Genomic DNA, 13,744 nt, shown 5'->3' with positions numbered 1-13,744 from the left:
GCAGGAGAAGATCAGCAAGAGAGATTCTGTTTTCTGAGGCCTAAAGTGCCCAAACATTATAGCGAAAGACCGTCTTTCACCGTTAAAGCTCTGAAGCTACTTCAGAAACCAAGGACAAAAGGCCAATACTTCAACAAAAGATATGCTTGTTGTTTTAGTCCCTTAGGAAACAACAAGGGCTATGGGAGTAATAAGCCAGGACCCCGGGATGGAAAGCTCCCCTCCACACACATTATATATATATTGTGTGTGTACACACACAACCAGACACACAGTATATCGTAATATCACACCCCCAGACAAGGGATGAAAGGGAAAATATGACCGTTAAGAATGTTGGTTTTTCTACCCCACTGGACTCCGAGTCTATGAGATTTGCCATAGACTTTTTTTTGTTAATTAAGTGAACAAATTAATAATTAACCTTTTTTTTTAATATTCTGGTGATACCTTTTTCAGAAATACAGCATTGGGCTGGGCGAGGTGGCTCACACCTGTAATCCCAGCACTTTGGGAGGCTGAGGTGGGCAGATAACCTGAGGTCAGGAGTTCGAGGCCAGCCAGGCCAACATGGCAAAACTCCATCTCTACTAAAAGTACAAAAATTAGCAGGGTGTAGTGGCATGCACCTGTAATCCCAGCTACTCGGGTGGCTGAGACAGGAGAAAAGCGTTAACCCAGGACACGGAGGATGCAGTGAGCCAAGATCACGCCACCACACTCCAGCCTGAGACTCCGTTTCAAAACAAGCAACAAAAAAACATAAATAGAGCATTGTATTTACTGCAAACTAGTTTTGATTATGAGTTAGTTGGTCATTCTGTGTTTAATTTGGGAGCGAGGCAGAAAATCATCAGGTAGAGTAACTCCATGGACCAAACCCCCACGGTCATGGAGCCGTTTGGTGACTCAGGCCATTGCTGAGACATAACTAACACATCTGCTTCACGGTAGACAGCTCCTCCAAAGGACAAGCCTCACGGCCTGATGCGGAACACTGGCCTGCTTCTGGCTGCAGGCTCAAATATGATACCTCACTTATGAGAGAATCATCTCAAAATAAGAGGAATTACACGATTGGGAAAGAATTAAATGAATAGAAGAATAGAAACCCTAACAAAAACAAATTATTCTTTTGGAAATAAACATTCAAGTAGGCTATAATACAGTTTGAGCATCCCATATCCCAAAATCTGAAATCTGAAATGTTCCAAAATCCAAAACTTTTTGAGCACTGACATGACACAAAGGAAATGCTAAGTAAATAAGTTGAGATTTAGGATGCCCAACTGGTAAATATAATGCAAATATTCCAAAATCAGAAAGAATCCACAATCTGAAACACTTCTGGTCCCCAGACACTTTGGATAAGGGATACTTAACCTGTGTCTACTCACTTAGGGCCTATGACTCAGTAGGAAACCCCAGAAAGGTTACTTTTTGAATTTCCACTTCTTATTCTCCTAAGTGAGTTAACAAATGTGTAACAGTGCCTGGCCCAGAGCAAATGCACCCACCGTTCGATGATGGCCAGCATCATAGCCGTTGCCATCATTCTGAATATCAAAATATGACAAAGATGCTGGCCAGTGTTTATCAGTCACACATTTTGGAGATGGTCAAGGGTTATCACATTTTAGGGGTGGAATTATAATAAATGTTGCCATAGTGATTAGAAAGATATATGACATATATTTTAAAAGAGGTTTAACAATTTTCTCTAAGGATATCCTTAAATGGTAAACTTAAATATAGTTTTAAAATGATTCATGTTTTTTTAAAATGGATGTAATTTATCCATACTGTTTTGGTGCCAAGTATGTAAAGAACGGTGTGCCCCAATTCATATCCCCAAGTATTTAAGTCTGATTTTTCAAGTTGTCAGAGAAATCCACTAAAATCAGATGCACACAGGCGCTACCCCATGTGTATTATCTCTGGTGCTGTCAGGGTACAGATCACATAAGTTGGGGACATTTCTCTGACATGAGGTGGTCTGGTCATGGGGTGTATGCCACGGGCCAACTGCATATTTTTCATTGAGTGAGTTTTCATTTTTCACCAACACCAGGTTCATAGCCTCAAGGACTTAAACATCTGAAAGCATTTCCTGGTAATAAAATCAGATTTATAATATGGCACTTGATTGCAACTTTACTTACATGTAAGATAAGACACAGTGTATCTTGACAGTCAGAAAAGTAATAACACATCTTTGGAAAGTCAATTTGTTTTTTATCCTATGTGTGGCATTAGAGTTAGGCAGGGCAACTGCGGTGGTACTTGTTTTCAATGATCAAAGGACTTAAATATCCCCAACTACTTTATAAGAATTCACAACCCGTCCAGGAGTGGTGGCTTACGCCTGTAATCCCAGCACTTTGGGAGGCCGAGGCGGGTGGATCACGAGGTCAGGAGATCAAGACCATCCTGGCTAACACGGTGAAACCCTGTCTCTACTAAAAATACAGAAAATTAGCCGGGCGTGGTGGCGGGCGCCTGTAGTCCCAGTACTCGGGAGGCTGAGGCAGGAGAATGGCGTGAACCTGGAAGGCGGAACTTGCAGTGAGTGGAGACCGCACCACTGCACTCCAGCCTGGGTGACAGAGCGAGACTCTGTCTGAAAAAAAAAAAAAAGAATTCACAACCCTATAACTCGTAACTGTATTTAAGACTCTGGCCTGTTCTATAACCTCAATGAGATAAAAGTTTCTGTCTCATGACAACAACAAAGGTGACTCGTTCAAAGGGGTTTCAAATTCACAGGCATCAACACAAAACTCTCACATCTAACTCTGCAAAACACGTCCTGTTCTTCCTTCTTTCTACGGAGAGGCCACACTGTGGAATTTGAATGAGACTGTATTATGAAGAAAGCCAGGGGCGCCTGGGAACGAGTAGGGGGGTTCTGAAAAGCCCTGGTTTTGGAGTCAGTCGGAGTGAGGTTTTTAGCCCAACCTTTATGACTCTGCGGCAGTTACCCAGCATCTCTGAGCTTTAGTTTCCTCAACTGAAAATTGAGCATATTATCTTTCTCACAGTGGTTTTTGAAATGGAGTCTCGCTCTGTCCCCTAGGCTGGAGTGCAGTGGCGCCATCTTGGCTTACTGCAACCTCCGCCTCCTAGATTCAAGCGATTCTCCTGCCTCAGCTGCCCAAGTAGCTGGGACTACAGGTGCCCGCCACCAGGCTGGGCTAATTTTTGTATTTTTAGTAAAGACAGGGTTTCACCATGTTGGCTAGGCTGGTCTCGTCGAACTCCTAACCTCAGGTGATCCACCTGCCTTGGCCTCCCAAAGTGCTGAGATTATAGGCGTGAGCCACCACGCCTGGCCTCACAGTTAAGGGTTAAATGAGTTCCTTTATGTAAAACACATAGTACACGATCTGGCATGCTGCAAGTAATCAGTGGTGGCTATGATTATTCTTATATCATGTTCAAGGTGGTGCTACAGTTGGGTCTTCTTTCCCTGTAAATAAATACAAAACCTTCTTACAGAATTGAGCTTGTGGTATCTTTCAAGTCTTAGTGCATTAGAGAAAATCATCAAGGCTGTCTAGTTCCCCAAACCAAGAAGCTTATTTGACCTACTCATGGAGTTTACCTCCATGTTAAGTTTCTCCTCCAGGCAAAATGTACCCTATTTGATCAATCCCTGGGTTTCAGAAGAGGTTCAGATCCCTGGCTGGCCATGAGAACCTTGCCTATTCCTCATACTTTAAGACAACACCAGTTCAAATGCTCTGCTCTCCTTTGACAGTGAGAAAGAGGGAGAAAAGGAGACAGGAAGAGGCGGTGGGCACATGCCAACATCCAGGCACATAGCTCTGCTCATTAGGGGAGCTTGTTAGGAGGCCGAGGTCTTGGGCCAAGTACACTGCAGCTTCCCTGAGTCTCCAAAGAACTTGGTTCTCTGGGAGGCAGATGTTGCAGTGAGCCGAGATCGTGCCACTGCATTCCAGCCTGAATGACAGAGTGAGACTCTGTCTCAAAAAAAAAAAAAAAAAAGTTAGTTCTATATATCATGCTGTCTCAAGGCTATAATAATCTCTGCTATGAGACTTCCAAGATCTATACCTTTGAAAACGAAGAGTAAACTAGCATTAGAGCAATAAACCCAAAGCAACGAACTCCATAAAAACCGCACGTATAAAAATGTGTCTCTGCCTAACATTTAGACGATTCTGGGTCAAAGTTAAACAGAGTTATTTTCTGTTGAACTTCAAAGAGGCTTGAACTTGCCAGTATACATGGTGGGCCTTCAAGGTGGTATAATATGCAATATTTTGTAATTCTATTTGCTCACTGAACTCTTTTTTCACAGAAGATCCACTGACACTTTACGGGAATGAGGGTGGGTTGGGAAATACTAGTCCACACTTAATAAAAGACTGTCCCATTCATGGAGAGAAATTCTCCAGCTGGTTTAGATGGTGTAGCTGGGCCCACACATCAAATCCATAGTGCCACAAATGCCTACAAAGCAAGGTCAAGGCCCTGTGTTCAGACAGTACAAAGACGAGCAAGACCTGCCTCCAACTTCAAAGAGAACACATTGTATTTGTTCCTTATCTTTGGATTTTAAACTCTGATTTGGAAGGCAAGGAATCGCAAGAAAAATAGAACAAAAAAGGTAGGTATCATCGTTTGAGATATAATAAATATCCATTCAGTAAAGATCAAAGGATTCTTAGTCTGAAAGTGACATGACTGTTGCGGGAATGCAAAGCTACAAACCTGTCTTCTGTGTAGCTGCGATAAGCCAAGGAAAAACGACTGCCAAGAAAGTTCTGAAACTGCATGCACATGAAAAACCCCACCCTTAATTACAGTTATAATGAGAAATATCTTTCAAAAATATCCAACTGCTCTGTCCTGCATAAGGAAGTAGCTTTAGTATCAGTTATCTAAAAATGAAAATGAACGGATAATTTTGAGACAAGGTTTTGTCTAAGCTTTGCCCTTCTGAGATGAAGGAAATTGAAGGAAATCAAAGTGACAGATGCCAAGATCATCTTAAACTTCCTTTTGGGTGTGGGTTTCAGGGGACTCCCAGGGTCCACCTTTCTTCCATGTTCTTATTTGTCCCTAGTTTTGGATCATAAGCTTGAAACTTAGCTGCATCAGAGAATGTTTTCCAAAGTAAAGTGAGCCACTGTGTCTTTGTGGTCACAAGACTGTCATGATGCATAAAATATAGTGTAAAGCATAATAAATGATCTCACTGGGATGATCTGGCATCCCTAAGGAGGTAAGTGACTGGAAAGGTCACAGCCTTAACTGTGGCAGTTCTGTTCTCCCTGCAGAGGGGACCGTTCTGAACAAAGGGCAATGAGAATGCACAGCCTAGCTGAGTGCTAATGGCATTTAGTGCACAAGGCTCTCCAGCCACAGTCATTCATAAGGTTTTCATCATTGCTGCCCTTCAGAACGCCTCGGCTCAAGAGGCCCCCTTCAGAAAAGCAGCTTTCACCCAAGCCAGAAGTAGAAGGAGAAAGGATGACCTGCAGCTCTTTAAACAAACTGGCTTGTTTTTAGACAGCCTAAGTGTCTGCTGGTAATCACTATTTTCTGCCAAATAGAGAAAGATAAAATTCCTACTGAACCTTTATGCTTAGTATAGCTATACCAAGCATTCAGCATTGTGAACAAAAGCCCTTCTCTCAAAGAGGCATTTGATTCCTGCAACTCAGCCAATGGAGAAATGCAGTTAATCCAGAGGCACCTCGCACAAATGCCTTGGGGCAAAAGACAAAAGGAAAGGCTGCTTCTCTCGCAGCTGTGACTTTTAAGCAGGATTGCTACTTAAAATGAATTAATACCATGATCATTTACTATGAGGCAGAACAACACGGACTTCTAAGCCTTCTTTTTCTCTACTTCCATCACCTACTGCTTCCAACAGTCTGCTTCCTGATAGGTAAACTGAGGCAGGGAAATTAAAATAAATTTTAAGTGTCCTTTCAGAAAATGGCAGTTTTGATAAATGCTGGATGATATGTGGCTAAAAATGATTACAACAAAGCTTGAGCATCATCAGTGGATGCATCTGCTCACCCATTCACCCTGTTCATCTCTATATGCAGCATCTATATCTGATGCTCCATATAGATACCATGAAGAAGCTAAAATTTGGATCTATTATATGGTTTGGCTGTGTCCCCACCCAAACCTCATTTTGACTTGTAGTGCCATGGGAGGGTCCTGGTGGGAGGTAATTGAGTCATGGGGGCGGGGTTTTCCCGTGCTGTTCTCTTGACAGTGAGTCTCGTGAGATCCTATGGTTTTATAAAGGGGAGTTCCCCTGCACACTCTCTTGCCTGTCACCATGTAAGACGTGCCTTTGCTCCTTCTCTGCCTCCTGCCATGATTGTGAGGGCTCCCCAGCCATGTGGAACTGTGAGTCCATTAAACCTATTTTTCTTTATAATTACCTAGTCTCAGGTATGTCTTTATTAGCAGTGTGAAAACAGACTAATACAATCTGTCACTAGGGTTAGATTGATCAGGAATATGGCAACACAGAAGAAGCATGCTTTCCATGATCACAGTAAAGAAGAGACAGACTTGATAATGAAACCAGTGCATCTGCCCTTCCACGGATGTTCTGTGTCACAAAAGGAGGCAGCAATACCCCACTCTCTTCCTTTCCCAGGTGGGAAGGGAACCTGTCTAGAAGCTGCCCACCTAATCACACCCAGGCATCATCACCCAGCTGCCTTTCCTGCTGCTGTATTGGGTCCAGGGTTCACATCATAGCAGTGGTCTTTAGACTTCATAGAAATCAAAATCAAATGTCCCTCTGGGTTTGACTGGAGTCATGCCTAGCAAAGTCATTGGAAGGGCACTGGCTGGTACTTGGGGAGGAAGCCACTATTTCACACATAGATTCCCTTTGCCTTTTGTTTGCCACTGTGAAATGAAACCAGTACTTACACTAGAGAGTCTTCACTGAACTTGCCAGCTTTAGCAAAAATCTAAAGGATCTTGCCAGCTTTAGATTGATTATAAGGCAGGAATTACCTGACATATTGATGCTCCCCTACGATACCCCTACCCAGTTCCAAGCACACAGTGGTATTCCAAATAAACATTGTGGATGATTCTGATATACATTTTCAGGAAGCAAGAAAACCTCTGTAGCTGGCAGGAGCCTGCTGCTGAGTTGCCTGCTCAGTCTTGGAAGACCAGAGTGGAATGTGCTCAGCAAATATGCTCTGGTGGAAAGAAGGCAGGTTAGAAGGTTACTTATATCAGCAAACTCAATGTAATTATTCATGAAAGAAGAATCATCTAGGTCATCATCATGATCTGTAAGTCTCAAGTTGTGCTCCTGAGCTCATGCTTATCATTGGCTCCCCTGCTATCAACAAATTTCTACCTGCCTTGGCTTCACTTTCAGGGCCCTGCATTTTAGGGTCAGAACTCCTCAATCCAGCTTCATCTCACACCTCGCTCTCACAAAAGCGTTATGTTCCAGACCTTCAAGTGAGTCAGAATTTAAAGCTGCCACGTTGTGCCTTCTCTCATGTTATCTTTTCCCATCTGAGACTCCTCAAATTTCATCTGTCAAAATTACTCTAAGCTGCGATGGTTAATATTATGTGTCAACTTGACTGGGTGACAGAGGTGCCCAGCTATGTGGCTCAACATGATTTCTGGGTGTGTCTGTGAAGGTGTTTCCAGTGAGATTATTATTTGAAACAGGGGACTCATAATGCAGACTGCCCTCTTCAGTGTGGCTGGGCCTCATTCAATCCATGGAGGGCCTGACAAGAACAAAAGGTAAAGAAAGGAGGAATTCTCCCCTTTTCTTCTGCCTGAATGCTTGAGCTGAGACATCAGTACTCTCCTATCCTTGGACTGAGATCTACACCACTGCCCCTGTTTCTCAGGCCTTCAGACTCTGACTAAATTACACCACTGGCTCCTGGGTCTCCAGCTTCCAGATGGCAGATCGTGAGACTTCTCAGCCTCTGTAATTGCATGAGTCAATTTCTTATCATAAATCTCCTTCTATACATACATGTTCAATTAGCTGTTTCTCTAAAGAATCTTGACTAACACACAAGCCCAATTCAAGTACCACCTTTTCTGGGAGAGGCAGTCTGCCACAGGCTCCAAGCATCTTTGTTCATCCTTGCTGAGTGTGACAAACTGCAAGGCCTAACCATCCCCAACCCCGAGCCATGCTGGGGCTAGTCACGTGGGCAGTGAAGTAGGTCAAGGTGGCCACAGCATGACGACCGTGCAACTGCACAGAGGATCAGCTTGTTTGCTGTTCACTACACAGGGTGCTGAGCCCTTGACCCTAGTACCCTCAGGTGCACAATCCACCAAGTGGGTACATCACATTGCCCAATGGGACTTGGTGGAGCAGGGAACCTGTGCCACCTGGCTGATGCACCTGGTTGTGTTATGTAGTGTCAGACTGCATGTCCTGATCCAGTAATTCTGATGTCTAATTTCGGCTTGCCCGCAGCTGTGCCAGGCTGGCCAGAGAGCTTGCTCGGTCTCCTCCTTTGGTGTCTGCTTACTTCTTGCCATTCTCTATGAGGATGAGGTTATTCCCTTATCTTCTTCTTTTGCAAAGTCCCATGAAATTTCCAAAAGGCCATGAATTGCTGGACTGCTAAGCCCTGTAGCTCCCTGACCTAATGCTACAACTTGGGTATTCCACACTGTCATCCTATAAGAGCCTAAATTCCATGAGGGCAAAAGTCAGGTGATAACAGAGGATGAATTCTATGTCTATCTCATGAATAAGTAAAAGAATGAATGAATGAATGAGTAAGTGAGGAAAGTCCCAAAAGATACCTTAGAATTTTGTAACTGTTCAGTCACCTCTAATATTTACTATATTCTTTATGTTCCCCTGAAAGGTGCCTTGCCTAACTCAATCACACCAGGTCTTTTCAAAACCAAATGAAAGCTTCTAAAACTGAAGTAAACCAGCAAGTTGAAAGGAGATGACTAATCGTGCTCTTCTAGGGTTTAGACTTACGGAAATCCCTGCACTCTGCCACACGTGGGATATCCGGTAGCCCACCAGTTCTCCATCCTGCTGCTTAGTCGGAGGCTTCATCCATCTGATGTCCACATTATCACTAGATTCATTCAGAAACACAGTGACATTTAAAGGTGCTACTGATGGGGCTACAAAAGAAAAAAGGAGAGAAGAATGAAGAACCACAAAGCACACACAGATGTATTCTCATCTGGGTTTTCAAGTGTTTGGTTTTCAAATGCTCTATGAAAAGCACTCAAATGAGACCAAGACTTATAGCACATTTTCACCTTTTCAACTAAGATTTTCACTGAGATATCAGTGAGTTTTAAATAAGTGAGCCCTTTTAGGTTACTGAAGCCTAGAAATTCATTTCTTAAGTTGAAAATATCAGCCAGAACATAGTGAGACCCTTTCTACAAAACAAAACAAAAAACTAAAAAATTAGCTGACTACTTGGTGCACATCTGTAGTTCCAGTCCCTCAGGAGACAGGCAGGAGGATTCCTTGAGCCCAGGAGATTGAGGCTACAGTGAGACATGATCATACCACTGCACTTCAGCCTGGGCAGAAAAAGCAAGCAAGGAAGAAAAGAAGGAAAGAAAGAGAAAGAGAAAGAAAAGAAGAAAATGTTGGCCAGGTATGGTGGCTCATGCCTATAATCCCAGCACTTTGGGAGGCCAGAGGGAGAGGATTGCTTGAGGTCAGGAGTTTGAGACCAGCCTGGACAACATAGTGAGACTCCAATCACCACTAAAAATAAAAAATTAGCTGGGTGTGATGGCACAGGTGTGTAGTCCCAGCTACTTGAGTGGCTGAGGAAAGATCACTTGACCCTGGAAAGTCAAGGCCACAGTGAGCCGTAATTGCACCACTGCACTCTAGCCTGGGTGACAGGGCAAGACCCTATCTCAAAAGAAAAAAAAAAAAAGGAAATTTCATGAGCACCTAAAGTAAAATAGCAAAGAAGAAGAAGGCAGGGAAGGTAGGGTGGGTGGTGCTCTGGACTCCTGGGGAAGTGAAGCAGACACAACTTGAACAATGTTCTCCAGCATAAACCTGTGGGGCAGAAAGTTAACATGGCCAGCTAGAGATCAGCTTGGTGGCATTTGAGATGCACAAGGTAGGAAACACTGCTGAGCTCAGAATGCAGCCACCATTTTAAAGTCCAGAGGCAAGTTACTGACAGTCTGAACAGAGCTAATCTGTCAACACATTTAAAAAGTGTGTGTGTGTGTGTGTGTGTGTGTGTACACGAGTGTACGTGTATAAAATAATTTGGGAAACAAGTCAAGATCATTACTACAGTCTTTTTTGGGAGAGAATAACTTAACTATATCTATTAAAATTGAAAATAATATGCTCTCTGACCAAATATTTTATTTCCAGGAATTTAATCTGTAGGTGATGTTATATTCATTGCAGCATAATAGTGACAAATAGAAATAAATGCAATGCTTGGTCAATAATTATGATATAATCTGGGAGATGGAGGTTGCAGTGAGTCAAGATCATGCCACTGCACTTCAGCCTGGGCAACAGAGTGAGACTCTGTCTCAAATAATAATAATAATACAAATTTTGATACATTTTCCAATGGAATACTTACTACCTCGTCACTGGAAAGAATTAGGTCATGTGTATTGATATAAAAAAATCCAATGGGGGAAAAATCAGATTGTAAAAAGTATATAGATCCATTTTAGAAATTAAAACAATAAACCTTCTATATCTAGAAAGAATAATAACAATTAGAATAATATACACCAAACTGTTGCCTGTAGTTGAATGAGGGGAGGTTAAATTCTATATTTCAGATATGTGTGAAAGGATACTATAACCCTCTTTTTCTCTGCTGATTCCAGAAACAGTAATCATGAAGTTAAAATGAATTTCAGCTTAGAAAACATCACACAACTAAAGCTGCCTATGAAATCAGTCGCACACTTTCAAACCTGTTGTAGAATTTGTGGATAAATATGGCCAACACAACATGTCTGTATGTCTGCCTCCTCCCAAAACCCCTCTATGATGGCAATAAAGAATTTAAAAAGATATAAACTCACAAGGCAAAGAGGAGTCAACAGTAGAAGAGAGATTTCAACACATATTTGAAAGCTGAAAAAGAGATGAAGAAGGTATAATTAACTCAGCAAGCCAATATTCTCCCAAAGAATCACAGAGCAGCTCAGAAGCTGTGGGCCCAGGTAGTAAAATGGGGACTAAAACTGGAAAGAATGATTGGAAGTCTGATTAACAAATAGTTGTGTCTCTGCCGGGCGCAGTGGGTCACGCCTGTAATCCCAGCATTTTGGGAGGCCGAGGCGGGTGGGTCACGAGGTCAGGAGATCGAGACCATCCTGGCCAACACGGTGAAACCCCGTCTCTACTAAAAATACAAAAAATTAGCCGGGCGTGGTGGCGGGCGCCTGTAGTCCCAGCTACTCAGGAGGCTGAGGCAGGAGAATGGCATGAACCCGGGAGGCAGAGCTTGCAGTGAGCCGAGATTGTGCCACTGCAGTCCGGCCTGGGCGAAAGAGCGAGACTCCGTCTCAAAAAAAAAAAAAAAAAAAAAAAAGAAATAGTTGCGTCTCAAAGTCTGTCTTCTCCATGCCTACACACCTGGCAAGTATGCCCTCAAATATCCATAGGACACAGGGTGATTTATTCTCTGAAGCAGAAAGCCACTAAACTTAGGGCACCTGTAGAATGGAGGCATGATAAGGAGCCAGGCTGAAAACTGGGAAAATAAGTGAAAGTTTATATACTAAATAACAAGGACTCTACCTTCCCCTCCTCCCCCACTTGGCTACTAGAATATCAGCAGCCACGTTTAATTCCTGGAGCAGGACACTTCTTTTCTAGAGGAAGTGAGCGGCTACAGAGGAAAGAAACCAATTTTGACAGTTGGGGGGTATCGTATCTAGATCAAAACACTTAGGTCACTGTCCAATCACCTATAGTGAAGCCTACAAGCTCTGCCCATACCCACAGAGTTCCAATCAAATCAATGATTCTTCACTCTTCCATAGGAGCAGACAGCAGAAATTAGCAGAGGTCTGGCGAAGCCTCCCCACTGAATATCAGGGACCAAAAAAAACCACACAGAACAGAGGGCTTAGAGGAGACAAAGCTAGTGTAGGGAACTAGGGAGACTAAAGACAAACAAACAAAAAATAATTGAGATATCCAGAAAAGACTCTTATGATTGAGAACCAGAAAAAAATTTTCAATGAAAAAAACTTGAAATTAGCAACATGATAAGTAAAATAAAACATTTAATAGAAGAATTGGAAGATAAATCAAGTAAATCTCCAAGAAGGTAGAATAAAAAGGCAAAGAAAATAGGCCAATTTGAAAAAAGAAAATTGAGGAAGCAATCGAAGAGGTCTAATTAACAATCGTCTAACACAATTCCTGGAAAAAACAGAGAGTGGAACATTTCCAAAGGAAAAAAAAAAGTTTAAGGACCAAAAGACTTGCATTTCCAGATCAAAGGGGCCACTGAATGCCCTTGATGACCAAAACAAATTGCACATCACAGCTTATCACAGAACCAGGATTAAAGAGAAAAGATATTTTAAAAACTAAAACTGAAAAACAGTTCACATAGAAAACTTAAGTATCAGAATTTTCCACAGCAACCCATGAAGCTAAAAAATGATACAAAAACGCCTTTAAACTTCTGAGGGAAAATAATTTCAACCTAAATTTCTATATTTGGAAAAATTACTAAGCCAGTATTACATAAGGATATGCAAGTTCCCACAATCTTTACTTTTTATGTATACATTTTGTGGAAGCTAATTGAGAATGGGCTCCATAAAAACGAGGGCATAAACTAAGAAAGGCAAATACCCAGGAGAAGGCACCAGAATCCTTAGGATGCCTCTAAAGGAAAATAGAAAAAGAACCACACGAAACAGTTAAAGGTAATGGTATCCAGGCTTCACACGGGGGAAGAATAGTGCCTGTTCCCATCAATCAGACTGGAAAATCTAATGATTCAAGAAGCACTGAGTAGGGCACACAGAATGGTCTTGTGTCAGCAGTGGGTAATAACCGACCTGAGACTGAGCCCTTATCAGGTTCTGCCTAATAAATCTTAAAAGCAAGACCCTACAGGATTAAACGGTTTCCCACTAGCTTAACTGTGTCTCAAAACAAAGCTCACTATTTACAGAAATAGAAGAATATCTAGCATCCAACACTGTAAAATTCTCAATGTCTGTAATCCAATCAAACATTATCAGGCGTGCAAAGAACCTGAAAAATACTACCTAGAGTGGAAACATAAATGAATCAGTTGAAACCACCCACAGATAACATAGATGTTAGGATAGCAAACAAAGACATTGAAACAGTTATGAAAAGGCTGGGCACGGTGGCTCATGCCTATAATCCCCTATTATAGGCTCATGCCTATAAACATTTTGGGAGGCTGAGGTGGGAAGATCATTTGAGGTCAGGAGTTTGAGAGCAGCCTGGGCAAAATAGTGAGACCCTGTTTCTATAAACAAACAAACAAACAAACAAACAAAAAACATGCTGGGTGTGGTGGCTCATGCCTGTTATCCCAGCACTTTGGGAGGCCAAGGCAGGCAGATCACCTTAAGTCAGGAGTTCAAGACCAGCCTAACATGGAGAAACCCCATCTCTACTAAAAATACAAAATTAGCTGGGCGTGATGGTGCATGCCTGTAATCCCAGCTACTCAGGAGGCTGAGGCAGGAGAAT

General features: G+C 42.4%; 1 protein-coding gene across 1 annotated transcript in view, besides 1 other annotated feature; it reads right to left on the bottom strand.

Annotated features, from left to right (window-relative positions):
- Nucleotides 1–13,744, bottom strand: part of MERTK (MER proto-oncogene, tyrosine kinase) — a 130,955-nt gene that overhangs the window by 37,564 nt on the left and 79,647 nt on the right. Inside the window, exon 8 of the mRNA NM_006343.3 lies at nucleotides 9,005–9,156. Within this exon, the coding sequence (NP_006334.2) occupies nucleotides 9,005–9,156 (152 nt within the window). The remainder of the gene's footprint in view (nucleotides 1–9,004; nucleotides 9,157–13,744) is intronic.
- Nucleotides 5,272–5,566: a silencer, noted in NCBI's record as "tiled region #10261; K562 Repressive non-DNase unmatched - State 7:EnhWF". NCBI's record gives its function as "represses a minimal TATA promoter and a strong SV40 promoter by Sharpr-MPRA in K562 cells {active_cell/tissue: K562}" and the evidence as "EXISTENCE:reporter gene assay evidence [ECO:0000049][PMID:27701403]".

Source organism: Homo sapiens, chromosome 2 (genome assembly GCF_000001405.40).
Source record: "Homo sapiens chromosome 2, GRCh38.p14 Primary Assembly".
In the NCBI taxonomy this organism is placed as follows: domain Eukaryota; kingdom Metazoa; phylum Chordata; class Mammalia; order Primates; family Hominidae; genus Homo; species Homo sapiens.
The sequence above is the reverse complement of the archived record's forward strand: the minus strand, read 5'-3'. Positions and strand labels throughout refer to the sequence as shown.